The 16886-nt window shown below is 42.9% G+C and overlaps 1 protein-coding gene and 1 pseudogene across 4 annotated transcripts, besides 1 other annotated feature; both read left to right on the top strand.

Moving 5' to 3' along the window:
- Nucleotides 1331-1625: a silencer, noted in NCBI's record as "tiled region #15100; HepG2 Repressive non-DNase unmatched - State 24:Quies". NCBI's record gives its function as "represses a minimal TATA promoter and a strong SV40 promoter by Sharpr-MPRA in HepG2 cells {active_cell/tissue: HepG2}" and the evidence as "EXISTENCE:reporter gene assay evidence [ECO:0000049][PMID:27701403]".
- CRP (C-reactive protein) lies at nucleotides 4675-6975 on the top strand. 4 transcript variants are annotated; one of them, NM_001329058.2, is made up of 4 exons: nucleotides 4675-4839; nucleotides 5126-5261; nucleotides 5661-5761; nucleotides 6696-6975. In NM_001329058.2, the coding sequence occupies exons 1-3, from the start codon at nucleotides 4779-4781 to the stop codon at nucleotides 5737-5739; spliced, it is 276 nt and encodes a 91-aa protein (NP_001315987.1). In that variant the 5' UTR covers nucleotides 4675-4778; the 3' UTR covers nucleotides 5740-5761; nucleotides 6696-6975. The 4 variants fall into 4 exon arrangements, with proteins under 4 accessions (NP_001315987.1, NP_001369632.1, NP_001315986.1 ...); NM_001382703.1 differs by having other exon boundaries at nucleotides 5126-5257; nucleotides 5624-6975; NM_001329057.2 differs by having other exon boundaries at nucleotides 5126-5761; nucleotides 6470-6975.
- On the top strand, nucleotides 13668-14314 carry CRPP1 (C-reactive protein pseudogene 1; annotated as a pseudogene).

Below are 16886 nucleotides of genomic sequence, written 5' to 3'. Positions count from 1 at the left end.
CACAGCATGGGCAAAACTACCTCCACGATCCAATCTTCTCCCACCATGTCCCTCCCTCAACTCATGGGGATTACAATTTGAGATGACATTTGGGTGGGAACACAGAACCAAACCATATCATTCCACCTCTGGCTCCTCCAAAATATCATGTTCTTTTCACATTTCAAAACCAATCATACCTTCCCAACAGTCACCCAAACTTAACTCATTTCAGCATTAACTCAAAAGTCCAAGTCTAAAGTTCCATCTGAGAAAAGGCAAGTCACTTCTGCCTATTAGCCTAGTAAAATAAAAAACAAGTTAGTTACTTCCAAGATACAGTGGGGGTATAGGCATTGGGTAAATGGTCCTGTTTGAAATGGGAGAAATTGGCCAAAACAAAGGGGCCACAGGCCCCATGTAAATCCAAAATCTGGCAGGACACTCATGAAATCTTAAAGCTCCAAAATAATCTCCTTTGATTCTTTGTCTCACATCCAGGGCATGCTGATGCAAGCGGTAGGCTTCCATGGCCTTGGGTAGCTCCATACTTGTGGCTCTTCAGGGTACAGCCCCTGTGGCTGCTTTCACAGGCTGGCATTGAACACTTGCAAGCTTTTCTAAGCACAAGGTGCAAACTGTCAGTGGTTCTACCATTCTGGGATCTGGAGGACAGTGGCCCTCTTCTCACAGATCCACTAGGCAGTGCCCCAGTGGGGACTCTGTGTGGAGACTCCAACCCCACATTTCCCTGCTGCATTGCCCTAGTAGAGGTTTTCTGTGAGGGCTCCATGCCTGCAGAAGACTTCTGCCTGAACATCCAGGTGTTTCCATACATCTTCTGAAATCTAGACAGAAACTCCCAAAGCTCAACTCTTGTCTTCTGTGCATCTGCACCCTCAACACTACTTGGAAGCCACCAAGGCTTGGGGCTTGTGCCCTCTGAAGCAATGGCCTGAGCTATATACATTGCCCCCTTTTAGCCATGGCTGGAGCCGCAGCAGCTGGCACACAGGGTGCCATGTTCCTGGGCTGCACAGAGCAGCGGGGCCCTGGGCCTGGCCCATGATACCATTTTTTCCTCCTAGGCTTTTGGACCTCTGATGGGAGGGGCTGCCATGAAGATCTTCTGAAATGACCTGAAGACATTTTCCTCATTGTTTTGGCTATCAACATTCATCTCCTCATTACTTATGCAAATTTCTGCAGCCAGCTTGAATTTTTCCCCAGAAAATGGGTTTTTCTTTTCTACCACATGGTCAGGCTGCACATTTTCCAAACTTTTATGCTCCCTTTCCCTTTTAAACATAAGTTCCAATTTCAGATCATCTCTTTGTGAACACATATGATTGTATGTTTTCAGAAAAAGCCAGGTCACTTCTTGAATGCTTTGGTGCTTAGAAATTTCTTAAGCACCAAAGCATTCAAGAAATCATGTCTCTTAAGTTAAAAGTTCCACAGATCTCTAGGGCATGGGCAAAATGCCACCATTGTCTTTGCTAAAACATAGAAAGAGTGACCTTTACTCCCGTTTCCAATAAGTTCCTCATCTCCATCTAAGGACACCTCTGCATGAACTTCATTTTCCATATCACTATCAGCATTTTGGTCAAAACCATTCAACAAAACTCAGGAAGTTCCAAGCTTTTCCACATCTTCCTGTCTTCTCCTGAGCCCTCCAAACTCTTCCAGCCTCTGCCCCTAGTTGGTTCCAAAGTTGCTTCCACATTTTTAGGAATCTTTATAGCAGTATCCCACTATCCTGGTACCAATTTTCTGTATTAGTTTGTTTTTACACTGCTATAAAGAGCTACCTGAAACCGGGTAATTTATAAACAAAAGAGGTTCAATTGACTCACAGTTCTGCATGGCTCGGGAGGCCTCAGGAAACTTACAATTATGGCAGAAGGCAAAGGGGAAGCAGGTACCTTCTTCACAAGGTGGCAGGAGAGATAGAGGGTGGGGAGGAACTGCCAAACACTTTTAAACCATCAGATCTTGTGAGAACCCACTCACTAAAATGAGAACAGCATGGGGGAAACCGCTCCTATGATCCACCCACCTCCCACCAGGTCCCTCCCTTGACATGTGGGGATTGCAATTCAAGATGAGATTTGGGTGAGGACACAGAGCCAAACCATATCAGATAGAGAGTGGTGGGACAGAGGACCACTTCTTTTAGGCATAAAGCCTTGAAATTATTTCACTTTTAAACTAGGAGCAAGAATTCAGGAGGAAGTTGGCTGGGCATGATGGCTCATGCCTGTAATCCCAGCACTTTGGGAGGCTGAGGTGGGCAGATCATGAGGTCAGGAGATTGAGACCATTCTGGCTAACATGGTGAAACCCCGTCTCTACTAAAAATACAAAAAATTAGCTGGGTGTGGTGGCGTGTGCCTATAATCCCAGCTACTCAGAAGGCTGAGGCAGGAGAATCACTTGAACCCAGGAGGCAGAGGTTGCAGTGAGCTGAGATTATGTCACTGCACTCCAGCCTGGGCGACAGAGCGAGATTCCATCTCACAAAAAAAAAAAAAAAAGAAAAGAAAAGAAAGAATTCAGGAGGAAGTTATAAACTGTGTTGAATATTGCCAAGAAGCTGGGTAAAATAAGAACAGAAAATTCATTATTAGATTTAATGAGAGAGGTGTTTGTTTATGTTGGCTTCACTAGAGTGGTGAAGGCCAATGGCTGATTTCCATGGATTGAGGAGGGAACAGGAGATGGAAAATAGAGGTTGTCAACCCACGTAAACTTTTCCTTCCTTCCTCCCTCTCTCCCTCCCATCCTTCCTTTTTTCTCTTTTCTTTCTTCTTTCTCTAAAAGATTAAATATATTATAGTATGGTTTTGTGGAAATGATCAAGTAAAGATGAATAAATTAATAATACAGAAGATAGAGAGGATACCTATAGGAGCAAAATTCCTTGCATAGTCGACAGGGTCTGGGATCCACTGAAGAATTGCAAGGGTTGGCCTTAGATGTAACACAGGGAGAGCTCATCCCTTTTAATAGAGGAAGACAGAAAGGCTGGTACATTGGGTTGTAGGAGGATATATAAGGATATCAGTTAGGTGTTAAGAACAGAAAGACTGAGTTAACAGTGATTTAACAAAAGAGGAGAGTATTTCTCCTTTAAGTAAATTTTCAGGTAGGCAGCCTAGAGCTGATGCAGTGGCTCCATACCCAATTATCCAGGCTCCATCTATCTTGTTGCCATGCCAACCTCAACATGCAGCTTACACTTGCTGGCCTGAAAGTGAACTATTCCATCTCCTGCTATCATGACTGAATACTAGTCAAAGGGAAAAAGGGGGAAGTGGGAGGGGAAAGCACATACCTTTCTTAAAGAGCACAACCTAGAGATGGTCCCTATTCTGTTCATATCTCGTTGGCCTTAATTTAATCACATCATCACTGCAAGCTACAGTGGGGGCTGGGAAATTTGGTGTTTGAGGGGATGACCAAGCGCCCAACTGAAAATGTTATTCTTCTCTTATGAGAAGTAGAGAATGGATGTTAGGGAATGGCTAGAAGACTCTACTACAAAGGATACGGTGGTTCTTTTCTGATTGCTTCTAACTTCTCAATGAAAGGTGAGTTCATCAGCTGAATGAAAGAATAAATGAGATTTTGGGGACTTGAGGAGCAAGGAGAAGGAGTATAATAGTCATTTTGAAGAGTGAGTTAAGTAGGGAACTGTAGTAAGATTGACAGACAGTGTGGAGGGATTACTTGAATCTTGTGAATAGAGGAAAGAGTAGAATCAGATTATCCTGACTCCTGCCTGAAGCTTTACATATTCAGAGAAAAATGTTGGAAGAAACTTTGATATAATGCTATGTCTGTGATCAGGCACACATTTTACTGGACTTTTACTGTCAGGGCCGTCATTTAGTGCCAAGATGTCTAGAGAGTTCTTAATAAGTGTACTCAATTGGCTGAGAAAATGTGTCCATGCAAAAAACCAAACACCGCGTGTTCTCACTCATAGATGGGAATTGAACAATGAGAATACTTGGACACAGGAAGGGGAACATCACACTCTGGGGACTGTTGTGGGGTGGGGGGAGGGGGGAGGGATAGCATTAGAAGATATACCTAATGCTAAATGATGAGTTAATGGGTGCAGCACACCAGCATGGCACATGTATACATATGTAACTAACCTGCACATTGTGCACATGTACCCTAAAACTTAAAGTATAATAATAATAAAAAAATGTGTCCATGGCTCTGGGAGGAGCATGTTTGTTTTCCTCATTTCCCAGTCTGTAAATAAGCAAATTGAAAGGGGTTAGTGATAATGTCCATCTCCAGAAGCTGTCAGATTTCCTTTGTCAAACTCTATGATTTGGGCTGAAGTAGGTGTTGGAGAGGCAGCTACCACGTGCACCCAGATGGCCACTCGTTTAATATGTTACCATTTCCCATTATTTTCGCAGGATAGATAGCCAAAGTGGAGCCCTGAGAGATTTCTTCATTTTTCCTGTCATAAAGAATTGGTAATTCAGTAGTCATAGGAGTTTGTAATAAATAACTCACATTGATTTCTCTGTTCTGAAATAATTTTGCTTCCCCTCTTCCCGAAGCTCTGACACCTGCCCCAACAAGCAATGTTGGAAAATTATTTACATAGTGGCGCAAACTCCCTTACTGCTTTGGATATAAATCCAGGCAGGAGGAGGTAGCTCTAAGGCAAGAGATCTAGGACTTCTAGCCCCTGAACTTTCAGCCGAATACATCTTTTCCAAAGGAGTGAATTCAGGCCCTTGTATCACTGGCAGCAGGACGTGACCATGGAGAAGCTGTTGTGTTTCTTGGTCTTGACCAGCCTCTCTCATGCTTTTGGCCAGACAGGTAAGGGCCACCCCAGGCTATGGGAGAGATTTGATCTGAGGTATGGGGGTGGGGTCTAAGACTGCATGAACAGTCTCAAAAAAAAAAAAAAAAGACTGTATGAACAGAACAGTGGAGCATCCTTCATGGTGTGTGTGTGTGTGTGTGTGTGTGTGTGTGTGTGTGTGGTGTGTAACTGGAGAAGGGGTCAGTCTGTTTCTCAATCTTAAATTCTATACGTAAGTGAGGGGATAGATCTGTGTGATCTGAGAAACCTCTCACATTTGCTTGTTTTTCTGGCTCACAGACATGTCGAGGAAGGCTTTTGTGTTTCCCAAAGAGTCGGATACTTCCTATGTATCCCTCAAAGCACCGTTAACGAAGCCTCTCAAAGCCTTCACTGTGTGCCTCCACTTCTACACGGAACTGTCCTCGACCCGTGGGTACAGTATTTTCTCGTATGCCACCAAGAGACAAGACAATGAGATTCTCATATTTTGGTCTAAGGATATAGGATACAGTTTTACAGTGGGTGGGTCTGAAATATTATTCGAGGTTCCTGAAGTCACAGTAGCTCCAGTACACATTTGTACAAGCTGGGAGTCCGCCTCAGGGATCGTGGAGTTCTGGGTAGATGGGAAGCCCAGGGTGAGGAAGAGTCTGAAGAAGGGATACACTGTGGGGGCAGAAGCAAGCATCATCTTGGGGCAGGAGCAGGATTCCTTCGGTGGGAACTTTGAAGGAAGCCAGTCCCTGGTGGGAGACATTGGAAATGTGAACATGTGGGACTTTGTGCTGTCACCAGATGAGATTAACACCATCTATCTTGGCGGGCCCTTCAGTCCTAATGTCCTGAACTGGCGGGCACTGAAGTATGAAGTGCAAGGCGAAGTGTTCACCAAACCCCAGCTGTGGCCCTGAGGCCCAGCTGTGGGTCCTGAAGGTACCTCCCGGTTTTTTACACCGCATGGGCCCCACGTCTCTGTCTCTGGTACCTCCCGCTTTTTTACACTGCATGGTTCCCACGTCTCTGTCTCTGGGCCTTTGTTCCCCTATATGCATTGCAGGCCTGCTCCACCCTCCTCAGCGCCTGAGAATGGAGGTAAAGTGTCTGGTCTGGGAGCTCGTTAACTATGCTGGGAAACGGTCCAAAAGAATCAGAATTTGAGGTGTTTTGTTTTCATTTTTATTTCAAGTTGGACAGATCTTGGAGATAATTTCTTACCTCACATAGATGAGAAAACTAACACCCAGAAAGGAGAAATGATGTTATAAAAAACTCATAAGGCAAGAGCTGAGAAGGAAGCGCTGATCTTCTATTTAATTCCCCACCCATGACCCCCAGAAAGCAGGAGGGCATTGCCCACATTCACAGGGCTCTTCAGTCTCAGAATCAGGACACTGGCCAGGTGTCTGGTTTGGGTCCAGAGTGCTCATCATCATGTCATAGAACTGCTGGGCCCAGGTCTCCTGAAATGGGAAGCCCAGCAATACCACGCAGTCCCTCCACTTTCTCAAAGCACACTGGAAAGGCCATTAGAATTGCCCCAGCAGAGCAGATCTGCTTTTTTTCCAGAGCAAAATGAAGCACTAGGTATAAATATGTTGTTACTGCCAAGAACTTAAATGACTGGTTTTTGTTTGCTTGCAGTGCTTTCTTAATTTTATGGCTCTTCTGGGAAACTCCTCCCCTTTTCCACACGAACCTTGTGGGGCTGTGAATTCTTTCTTCATCCCCGCATTCCCAATATACCCAGGCCACAAGAGTGGACGTGAACCACAGGGTGTCCTGTCAGAGGAGCCCATCTCCCATCTCCCCAGCTCCCTATCTGGAGGATAGTTGGATAGTTACGTGTTCCTAGCAGGACCAACTACAGTCTTCCCAAGGATTGAGTTATGGACTTTGGGAGTGAGACATCTTCTTGCTGCTGGATTTCCAAGCTGAGAGGACGTGAACCTGGGACCACCAGTAGCCATCTTGTTTGCCACATGGAGAGAGACTGTGAGGACAGAAGCCAAACTGGAAGTGGAGGAGCCAAGGGATTGACAAACAACAGAGCCTTGACCACGTGGAGTCTCTGAATCAGCCTTGTCTGGAACCAGATCTACACCTGGACTGCCCAGGTCTATAAGCCAATAAAGCCCCTGTTTACTTGAGTGAGTCCAAGCTGTTTTCTGATAGTTGCTTTAGAAGTTGTGACTAACTTCTCTAATGACCTTTGAAATCAAGTCCCTGTAAGTTTACACTTCCCATTACACAACATATCCATGGCACTTTAACCTGTCCAAGAGTCCCCTGAAGGGATTCCCTCTGACAAGCACAGTCCCTCTTTTGAGATAGCTGGCCATTCATGTAGGGCCAGTTGTGGGGGTTTTAGTACTCTCATTCTATCATTATTCCAATTTGAGGAGCAAAAACTAAAGATCATTGAGATCCATGGATCTGCTGCCAGGTTCAGTGACTGGAATGCACTTGCCCCAGCGGGTTCAAGTTCTTTGTAGAAACAGACCCCTCAAAGATGACAGCAGCTGGCTTCCTCCAGAAGTGTCCTTCAACACTGTCTTTCAGTACTAAGTGACCAGTAGAAGTTACTCCATAAAGACCATAGCCAGGAATGAATTATGGGGCTTCCTGCATATCAAATGGTTACCTAGGGAAGGCATATGGTAAACTAGTTAAGCACAGAGGTTCTGGAATCAGACTGCCTAGGTCCAAATCCTGGCTTTACAACTTACTAGCTATGTGACCTTAGGTGATATAACCTCTTTACGCCTCAGTTTTCTTACCTACAAAGCAGGAGAAATAATAGTAATTAGCTCAAAGGGTTGCTATAAGAATCAAAGAAAATCATGCAAGCAAAGCACTTACTACAGTGCCTGGCACATAGTAAGCTCTTATAACAGTTTTCTGGTATTATTCTTATTAAGCCATTTTGTATTATATCCATAAATGTAGATTCATAAAATACATAAAAATACAACTTGGTAGAATTTGTCTTGGTTGGCAGCAGTTGAAGCTTCTCATTTGCTAAGAATTAGGTTTAGAATGTTAGAAGGGTGAACAACAAGTCTTTGAAGCCATTATTTATGAATATTGACTTCTCTAATTGACTTTTGATAACCATTTGTAAGCATAGAAGCTAAGGATACATTCTCAGACAAAAATGAGAGTGCAAATACTCTCTGTTGTCCAATTAGGGCAGATCCATCCATCCTCACATTCAGCTAAGCAGAAGAGAGGATTGACACTCTTTTCTAGTTAAATAATCCAGATACGTCTTAATTATAGAAGGCCATCCCAACTCCCCAGGGATGTAGGTTGAGCTAATATTTTCTTCAGAATTCAGTTGCTTGCATCTTACTATACGTAGTCTGGTAGACAGCCTCTGGCCTTAATAATTTGAGCCAGGAAAATCTTAACAGCTGGTATTTGCATTCAGAGAACATTAAAAAATCTTAACAAAGCATTCGTAGGATGTTTAGATTTAAGCAATTTAGCCTACTGGTGGGTACATCAATGTAAACTTGTTGGAAAATGTATTTCCAGGTAACTGGTGAATTGTCATACCATATAGAGCTATTAGATGTAATCCAATTAAATGTTAGATGACATCTGCCAAAGAAGATGATTCTGATTTGGGCATGTTGGTTCTAAGCAATGCTTTTTTTTTTTTGCAGTAAGTGGAGAGTAAGATCAAACATCCACCGTGGCCACTTCTAGCTGATGCTAATAAAACCATGTTGTCAGGACTGGTTTTCTGTTAGAGTAGGGACCATGGATCCAATTTTTCCAGAAGTAGAATCAGGCCTCAAGGAATGAGTTAAAAAGACATAGGGACAAATGGTCTATAAAACCTATAATAGAAAGGAGGTGAAAGCGGGGTGGTGGCCCAGTGCCTGAAGAGATACTGTAGTGCATTTACAGGCCAAATAAGAGAAAGTAGAACAATAGTATGAATCAGAGATGATGGAGGCTGCTACTTGATAGAACACTTTCTTTTTGGAACTGAAAATAGCCATGTTGGTATAAGGGTTAGGGCCAGGCCTGACCCTAATGTAAGCGCCTTAGCATGGGATGTGATATGGAGATGTGCAGATCAGAAACCTAAAATCTCCCTGTGTCAGAAAAAAATGTTAGCTCACTGGCCAGGCAACAAGACTTGCACACTTTCCAAAAAGAGGTGGTCATGGAGAGAGCATTGTTAAGAATGGGCTGCATGTCAGGCCAGGTGAGTGGATGAGAAGCCACCTCTGTGATGAGACTTGGTCTATCCAGGCCCTGGAGGAGAGAGTACAGGCTGCCTCAAAAGTGAGGCTGGGACCTGATGGAAATGGATTTGGAGTCCCAGCTGACAAAGTAAGTAGAATGTTAAATCTGTGATATTCTCCCCCATGCTTTCACTATCCTCAAGTTTGATGTGCCCCAGGCAAGCAAAGATTGACAAAGGAAGCAAATGACTCTAGATGATTGAGCACCACCACCACGTAGATCAAATTTCCAAAGTATAGATTTCTGATCACTAGAATCCCAGGGAAAAGAGAAGCACTGCTTTGATTTCTAGGTAGCTTATCCTAGGACAACTGCCCACTAGTCTCAGATGGGTTGTCGTACTTGCCTGGATTCCTTCTCTTCAGCTCCCTGTCTCTATTTCAAATATGCATCTTTTCATTTCCTCTGCACTAGAACGTAGGTTAAGCGGGCTTGTTAGCCTTTTCCTTCTGAAAATGCAGACTCCTAGCTCAAATTTCCTGGATCACCTGGCCCAGTGATCACTTATAGTCTGCTGATTACAGGCATCATTTTCCTCTGGGGTGTTTGAGTATAGATTCATTGACCCCAGTCCTCCTAGAGTAGATTCTCTGGGGTTAGTGCTCAGGAATATGCAAGATCACAAGCTCTTTTGTACCATGTGCTTTTAGAGCTATCACTGTAGTGTTTTCCTGACAGCTCAGATTTCTTATCTCAGGGACATGCCTGGCTCCCACTAAGCTTGCAGGCAGGTGGTCACCTTTTTTTTTTTTTTTCCGAGACGGAGTCTCGCTCTTTTGCGCAGGCCAGGCTGCAGTGGCGCTATCTCGGCTCACTGCAAGCTCCGCCTCCCGGGTTCAGGCCATTCTCCTGCCTCAGCCTCCTGCGTAGTTGGGGACTACAGGCGCCCGCCACCGCGCCCGGCTAATTTTTTTTGTATTTATAGTAGAGATAGGATTTCACCGTGTTAGCCAGGATGGTCTCGTTTTCCTGACCTCGTGATCTGCCCGCCTCGGCCTCCCAAAGTGCTGGGATTACAGGCGTGAGCCACCAGGCCCGGCCAGGTGGTCACGTTTAAAGAAGCATCTAGTGCATCTGTATGTACCCAGGTCTTCCCCTTAGCCTACTTCTGGTGCATTCTTTCAGGCCTCATTCAGTGTGGACCCGTCTGTCCTATGCCCTTCATACACACAGATAAGTGATCTCCCAACGTCTCATCACTGCCCCCAGGATGATAATTGCTTAATCACACAGGGAAGATCACACATAGTCTTAAAACAAAACAAAAACAAAAACAAAAACTTCTTACACTTACTGAGCTCTTACCATGTGCCAGGTACTGTTGTGAGTCTTTTACATATATTTACTTGTTTAATGACAATCCTATGATTTATGTAATATTTTATAGTCCTCATTTTACAGATGAGAAAACTGAGGTTTGGAGAGGTTAATTAACTTGCTCAGAGCTAGGATTTGAACCTAGGCAGTCTGGCTACTCAGTTCTATGCTTCTAACCACTGTATTCTACTGCCACATTCAACAGAAGCTTACACCCTACACTTATACCCCTAGTGCAAGACGGAGGGTGTGGGGATGTGTGTGTTTTTTCTTATGGGGAAGCCATTCCAGGATGCCGTATATTCAGTGTTAGCTACCATTGCAGGTCCACTGGCAATCACCCTACTTTTTATTTTGTTCTTATGTGCTTAGCAGAATGGCTTGCACATAGAAATCCTATTCAGCCTTAGCATGAATACAATTGTGCCATATTGTCAAAGTTCTTCTCTGACCTCCATCTCTTCTACAGTCATGCACACCCTTAGATGTAACTTTACATCGTAGTGGCATTCACCAAAGACATAGAATCATACAAGGGACTCTAGGCCAGCAATTCTCAACTTCGATTATGAATATTGGAACCACCTGGAGAGTTTTCAAAAATCCAGTTGCTTAGGCCATAACCAGATAATTATGTTGATTATCTGGCGGTGAGACTCAGGCATCATTATTTTTAAACCTCCTTAGTGATTACAATGTACAGCCATGTCTCCAACAGCCACTCTTCTAGGTGCCACTCTTCTAGGGTGAGTGATAGTTTAGAAAAGATTGCAGAGTCACAGCTGTGGTCCCTGACAGTTCATGTGGTTATTTCTGATGGATATGCCCCTGTTTCTTAATTTTCTTATGTTATAGTAGTTTCCGTTTGAGTCAGGGGAGCATATCAAACTCCATTTCAGCACTGGAGTTTTAAGTCATAGCTCTAGGATTAAATAAAGCGACAGCCCTGTATTTAGTGTGTTCTTATTTATTCAGTAAAGCCTCACTGTGATGACAAATATTGTATTTGTTTTAGAGTGTTCTCTTTTTTCCCCAATTAATACTTTGTATCTCTGTAGTGTGGAGAAACCAAAGTGCCAAGATATTTGAAAAGCTGAAATCCTTCAGTATTTTTATCAGAGCATCACAGATATAGGAGGAAGAGAGAAGAGGCTTCCCAAACAAACATATCTGAGGGAAGGGTAAAGGTTGCATTGCAAGCTTATTACACTTCTCTCCTGATAAAGTTCACTGAATGCTCTGTGATATGCTGCAAGCAGTTATAGAGCTGTACTGGCGGGTTGCTGGAGCCAGGGGTGGGTTGTAAAATGGTTTGTGGGAAGGTCTTTCATTCTGTCTCTCGCGCTTTTCTTTCTTTTGCTTTAGCTCTTGCTCTCTCCATCTCTATTTCTCTCTGCCTCTCCCTCTCTTTTTCAATTTTAGGCCTTCTTTACAGCATATCCATTTTGGAGGTAGTTCTATAATGTAGTGGGCTCCATGAAATCAATAAAATTACCAGTGTTCACCTATTGCATTGGTAGCTGCATTCTTTTAACTTACCTAAGGAGCCCAGACAGACACTAACAAGAAGGCAATTTGGCATTGGAAAAACATCTTCTTCCTTCTTTGTACCAATCTTTTCACCTATATGATTTATTTTTGTTTAAATTATACATGTACCTTTTATTGGGCAAATGGTTAGAATGAGAGAACAAAAGCTTTTGGAGCAATTACTTTAAGCCAGTCATATAATTAAAAAAATAGATGCAAAAAGTTTGTAAAAGGATATTAAAAATTTTAAAACTATACATCATTAAAATACAAACCAGTCCAGAAATGTACCACCATTTGTAATAGTCCTTTTTCTCTTGCGCGTTTCGAATATGCTGCCCACATGTTAGCTGGTTCTCCTAGTCAATGGAGAAACAGCCTCTATTATCAATTTCTCATTGGATATCAATGTGAAAACTCATGATAAGATCATGATGAATAAGCTCCAGATTCTTTTTACATGAAATGATGTCTTATATGGGAATTAATATATTGTGAAATACTTTGGTACCTAAATGTATACATAGCTTAGGATGTCCAACTGATATTGTTCTGTTTTAGGCATTCTGGGCATAAAGCCAAATAACCACAGTGAGACTGGGTGTCCTATTCATAAAATGGGATCTTCATTCCCTCTTCCCTTGGTTCTTAATTACACATGCACACACACACACACTCACGTAAACACACACACTTCATTTTAGAAGCAATACAATCCCATTATGAAAAGTTAGTGAGGAAAAAAATCCTCCATAATTCCATTATTATAATAAGAACATATTGTCTGGAAGCATTCCTTACACTTTTTTTCTAAAATAGTCACTTCTTTTAAAAATAGTGTATATACAAGTCTGTTATTTTTTCTTTTATCAAAAGCATTTTTATTTACATGTTATAGTATAAAATTCACCACTAACATTTAAATGGCTATCTATTCTATTTGGTGGATGTAGACATATACAGTTTACTTAAACATGCCCCATTTTTCTCTTTGCTATCCTAAGTAATTTTAAGTGGTTGTCTTTGTGAAAAAGGTTCCCCCTCCCAATATTTTGCATCATTTCCCTAGAACGGATTCTCAAAATGTGACTGTCTTAATTCACCAGGCGATGCCACACAGAGTTGTTGGAGCAGCAGCAGGCATCACACATTCTCTAATAAATAACCCATATTGATCTCTCATTTTGTGATTTATCTTGCTCTCTTTGCTCTTAGAGCTTTGATTCATGGCTCCAAGGGGGCAATTTTGGAAAATCATTTACCAGCTGAGACATCCTGACTGCTGCACATATGAGGTCGAGGTGGGGCAGACTTGAAACAGAGGGATCTCAGATGTGCAAACCCAGAATCTCAGCCACTGATACTTTTTTTCAAGAGAATGATCCAAATTCCAGGCACACCAATAGCAGGGAGGGAACACGGAGTTTCCTGGTCTCTAAACATGGAGTTTTCCATGTTTCCTGGTTTTCATCAGCTTCCCAGTGCTTTCCCTCAGACAGGGAGGCATTGCTTCCGCTGATGGCTGAGATCTTGTCCTGTAAATATGACTGTGCAAAGCCAAGTTAGGGAAAAGGGCCAGCATGGGTGAGAGGTTGTGGCCTGGGGCAGAGTTCAGGCTGTGGTTTCTAAGTCCAATCTCTTGGTACATTGCGAGGAATACATCTTTGTGGCCTGACAAGCTTAACTGATGACCTTTTTTCTCTCTGCTTTCTATCCTACAGATGTGAACAAAAAGGGTTTTGTGTTTTCCCAGAGTCAGACAATTCCTTTGTGATCCTGACTGCAGAGCTAAAGAAGGCACTCAAGGCCTTTATTGTGTGTCTCCATGTCTATATGCACCTGACCTGTGAACATAGCCTTTTTTTCTTATGCCATGAGGACTAGATAATGAATCCTCCTCTCTAAGGAAAAGACCGGAGGCTACAGCACATCCGTGGGTGGAAGTGGGATAGTTTTCAAGTCTCCTAAGAGTTCTCCTGCACTGTGTACCTCCGTGTAAACTGGAGTCCGCCTCAGGGATCATGGCGTTCTGGGTGGATGGGAAGCCCATGATGAGGAGGAGTCTGAAGAAGGGATACACTGTGGGGACAGAGGCAGGCATCATCCTGGGGCAGGAGCAGGATTCCTTCACTGAGAGCTTTGACACAAACCAGTCCTTGGTGGGAGATATTGAAGATGTGAACATGTGGGACTTTGTGAGATTAGATATTAGGTTAGATTAGACAGCCAGATGAGATTAATGCCATCTATGTTGGTGCGGCCTTCAGTCCTAATGTCCCAGACTGGTGGATGCTGACATATGAAGTGCACGGTGAAGAGTTCACCAAGCCCTAGTGGTGGCCCTGAGGCCTGACTGCAGGTCCCAAAGGTTCCTCCTGGGATTACACCTGACATTTCCCTGACTTTGGCTCTGAGGTCTTTTTGTCCTGCATACATGGCTGTCTCACCCCAAGGGTCCTGTATTTATTTCCCTTCTTTCTTCACCCTGCTTTCATCAGCACAAGGGCCAGTGCAGAGCAGAGGGTCCCACTCATGGCTTAGAATCACCAGGCTACATCCCAGGCCAATTAAATCTGATTTCCTGGAGGTGAGACCCAAGCATCCATGTTTTAAAAGCTCTTCAAGTGATTCCAATGTTCTGCCAAAGCTGACAGCTGTTGCCTTTATGTCTAAGAGCAAATGAGCCAGAATTTCTCTCCTAAAAAAGACAGCACGTGTCCAACTATAGTTCTGCCAATATTTTCATTTGCCTTTATCCATATACCTACCATAGTTTATTGTGCTTTATTGTATTAACTAAGGAATACAGGAGTATTTTCCAGCATTCTGCCCTCATCATTAGAATGAGGTCATTATAAATTAGAATTATCTTTAACTTTTTTAATCCTTTCTATTTGAAGATTCAATAAATCTAAGACATGTTTTGTAGTTGTTGTTTAATTTGTTCTATTTTCTTTCTTAAGGCTGGCCAATTTTCATTAGGTGAAATTTCTATTGGTTTTTGTTTTCTTATTTATCATCCCTCAGGTCACTTTTTTCTATGTCCTGCATCCTTATATTTTAAGCTTTTATTTTTTCAAATCTCTCTTCCATATTACTGATTTATTTTCTGCTTTGCATATTGGGATCCTTACTTTTTCTAATGCCATTGAAAATTCTGTGATGCTTTTTGAGTTTCCTTAAATTCTTTCTTAGATTTAGTATGTTTTTTTCCAACTATTTTTCATTAATTCTCTTTTCTTCAATTTACTTAAAAGTTTAATGCAGTTACTGTCTAAAGTTTTCTAAATTTTCCTGTGATTAATCTTTAAAATTTTTTGACATAAATCTTTTGCATGCTTTAGATAATTTTCTTTTATATTTTAGTACTTTTCAGTCTCACTATTTATTCAAATACAGTGTGAGGGGTGCATTCTGTTTGTCTCCTTTCTCCCTACCTGGCCACACTTAGGCTCCCTAGGAATCTTTGCAAGTTGGCTGATGGACTTAGGTAATACTATGAATTTCCAGTCAGGTTCGGCCTCTTTCAACTCCCCTTTGAAATGATTCCCTGAAATGGTTTGGATGTTTGTCACTTCAAAATCTCATGTTGAAATATGGTTCCCAATGTTGGAGGTGGGGCCTGGTGGGAGATGTTTGGATAATGGGGGCAGATCCCCCATGAGTGATTTAGTGCCATCCCCTAAGTGATGAGTGAGTTCGCTCAGTTTGGTCATATAAGATCTGGTTGTTTAAAAGACCCTGTGATCTCTCTCTTCCCTCTCTGGTCCCTGCTCTCGCCATGTGACACACTGACACCCCTTCGCCTTCCACCATGATTGTAAGCTTTCTGAGGCCCTTGTTAGAAGCAGATGCCAGCACTATGCTTCCTGTACAGCCTGAAGACTGAAGCCAATTAAGCCCCTTGTCTTTATAAATTACCCAGCCTCAGGTATTCCTTTATGGCAATGCAAAACAGACTAACACACTCCCCACCTCCACCAATTTCTGATTGTCACAGACTCTCCCAGGTGCACTTTTTCGTATTTGTGTCTTTACGTCTCTCTTAAAAGGATGACTCAGAATGCTGGGGAAGACACAGTTAACAATACCAGCAGCATCAGACAAGATCAGGTCTTGAGTTCTTTTGGAGAGGGCGATAGTCTGGGAAGCTTTCCTTTCCTCTGTCTGGCTTCTCTCCTTGAGACTAGTGGCATGTCCCATGTCTGATATCCATTGGTTTCCACCAAAGAGGTCCAAGGTCACCTACGCATGACATCTATCTCTGGGGCTCTGGGACTTTTCCCTCTTCACTAGGTATGAAGCAAGTGGAGATTCTCATTGCAGTTCTGTCCTGAAGCGTAGATCTTCAGGGGAAAATGTTTTAGGAAGGCCATGTTCACTTGAGATCTGAGCTGGGTCCTTCAAATCAAGCATTGCTAGCCACAAGGCTGATGTGATTTTTATTCAAGTATTTATTTCTCAGTTTATTCTAAACAGGCAAAGAGGTGATATTGTTTCCTCAAAACTCTAAGAGTACCATGAAGAGAGAGGGAAGCTCCTCTATGGAGAGATTCTCACCTGCAAACAGCCAGGGTGGAGCCTGGGCAGGACTTCAGACTTGTAAGAGGAATAACAGTGTAGCGGGCAGTCTCTCACAGATAGCACAAAGAGTCTTTCCTCATCAGGGATGGGTTTACTTTTAGAATCAGGGCAGACTTGTCCTGGAGCTCCAACTCTAAAAGCTGTGAAGTTCTGCAGGAGCTGGGGCAGGCTCATTTCAAAACAAACTGAGTCCTGATACATGGAATCTTTGGCCTTTGTATTGTTGATGCCTGGGTCTGAAAGTCAGAAATAGATCCTGTTCCTCTCTATGCTTTACTCATGTTTGGGGTCAAAGAGGGACTTTGAAGGCATAATCTGTACATTTATATGCCTCATTTACAGTTTCTTAAAGCCTACCTTTCCTCTC

This window comes from Homo sapiens, chromosome 1, assembly GCF_000001405.40.
Source record: "Homo sapiens chromosome 1, GRCh38.p14 Primary Assembly".
NCBI lineage: Eukaryota > Metazoa > Chordata > Mammalia > Primates > Hominidae > Homo > Homo sapiens.
This window is presented reverse-complemented; position numbering and strand designations above follow the sequence as displayed.

Bases quoted from the DNA above. Each gene is read 5' to 3' on its own strand.
- CRP (NM_001329057.2), top strand. From the start codon at position 4,779: ATGGAGAAGCTGTTGTGTTTCTTGGTCTTGACCAGCCTCTCTCATGCT. The intron at 4,840-5,125 runs GTAAGGGCCACC...TCTGGCTCACAG, and splicing joins TCATGCTTTTGGCCAGACAG to ACATGTCGAGGAAGGCTTTT.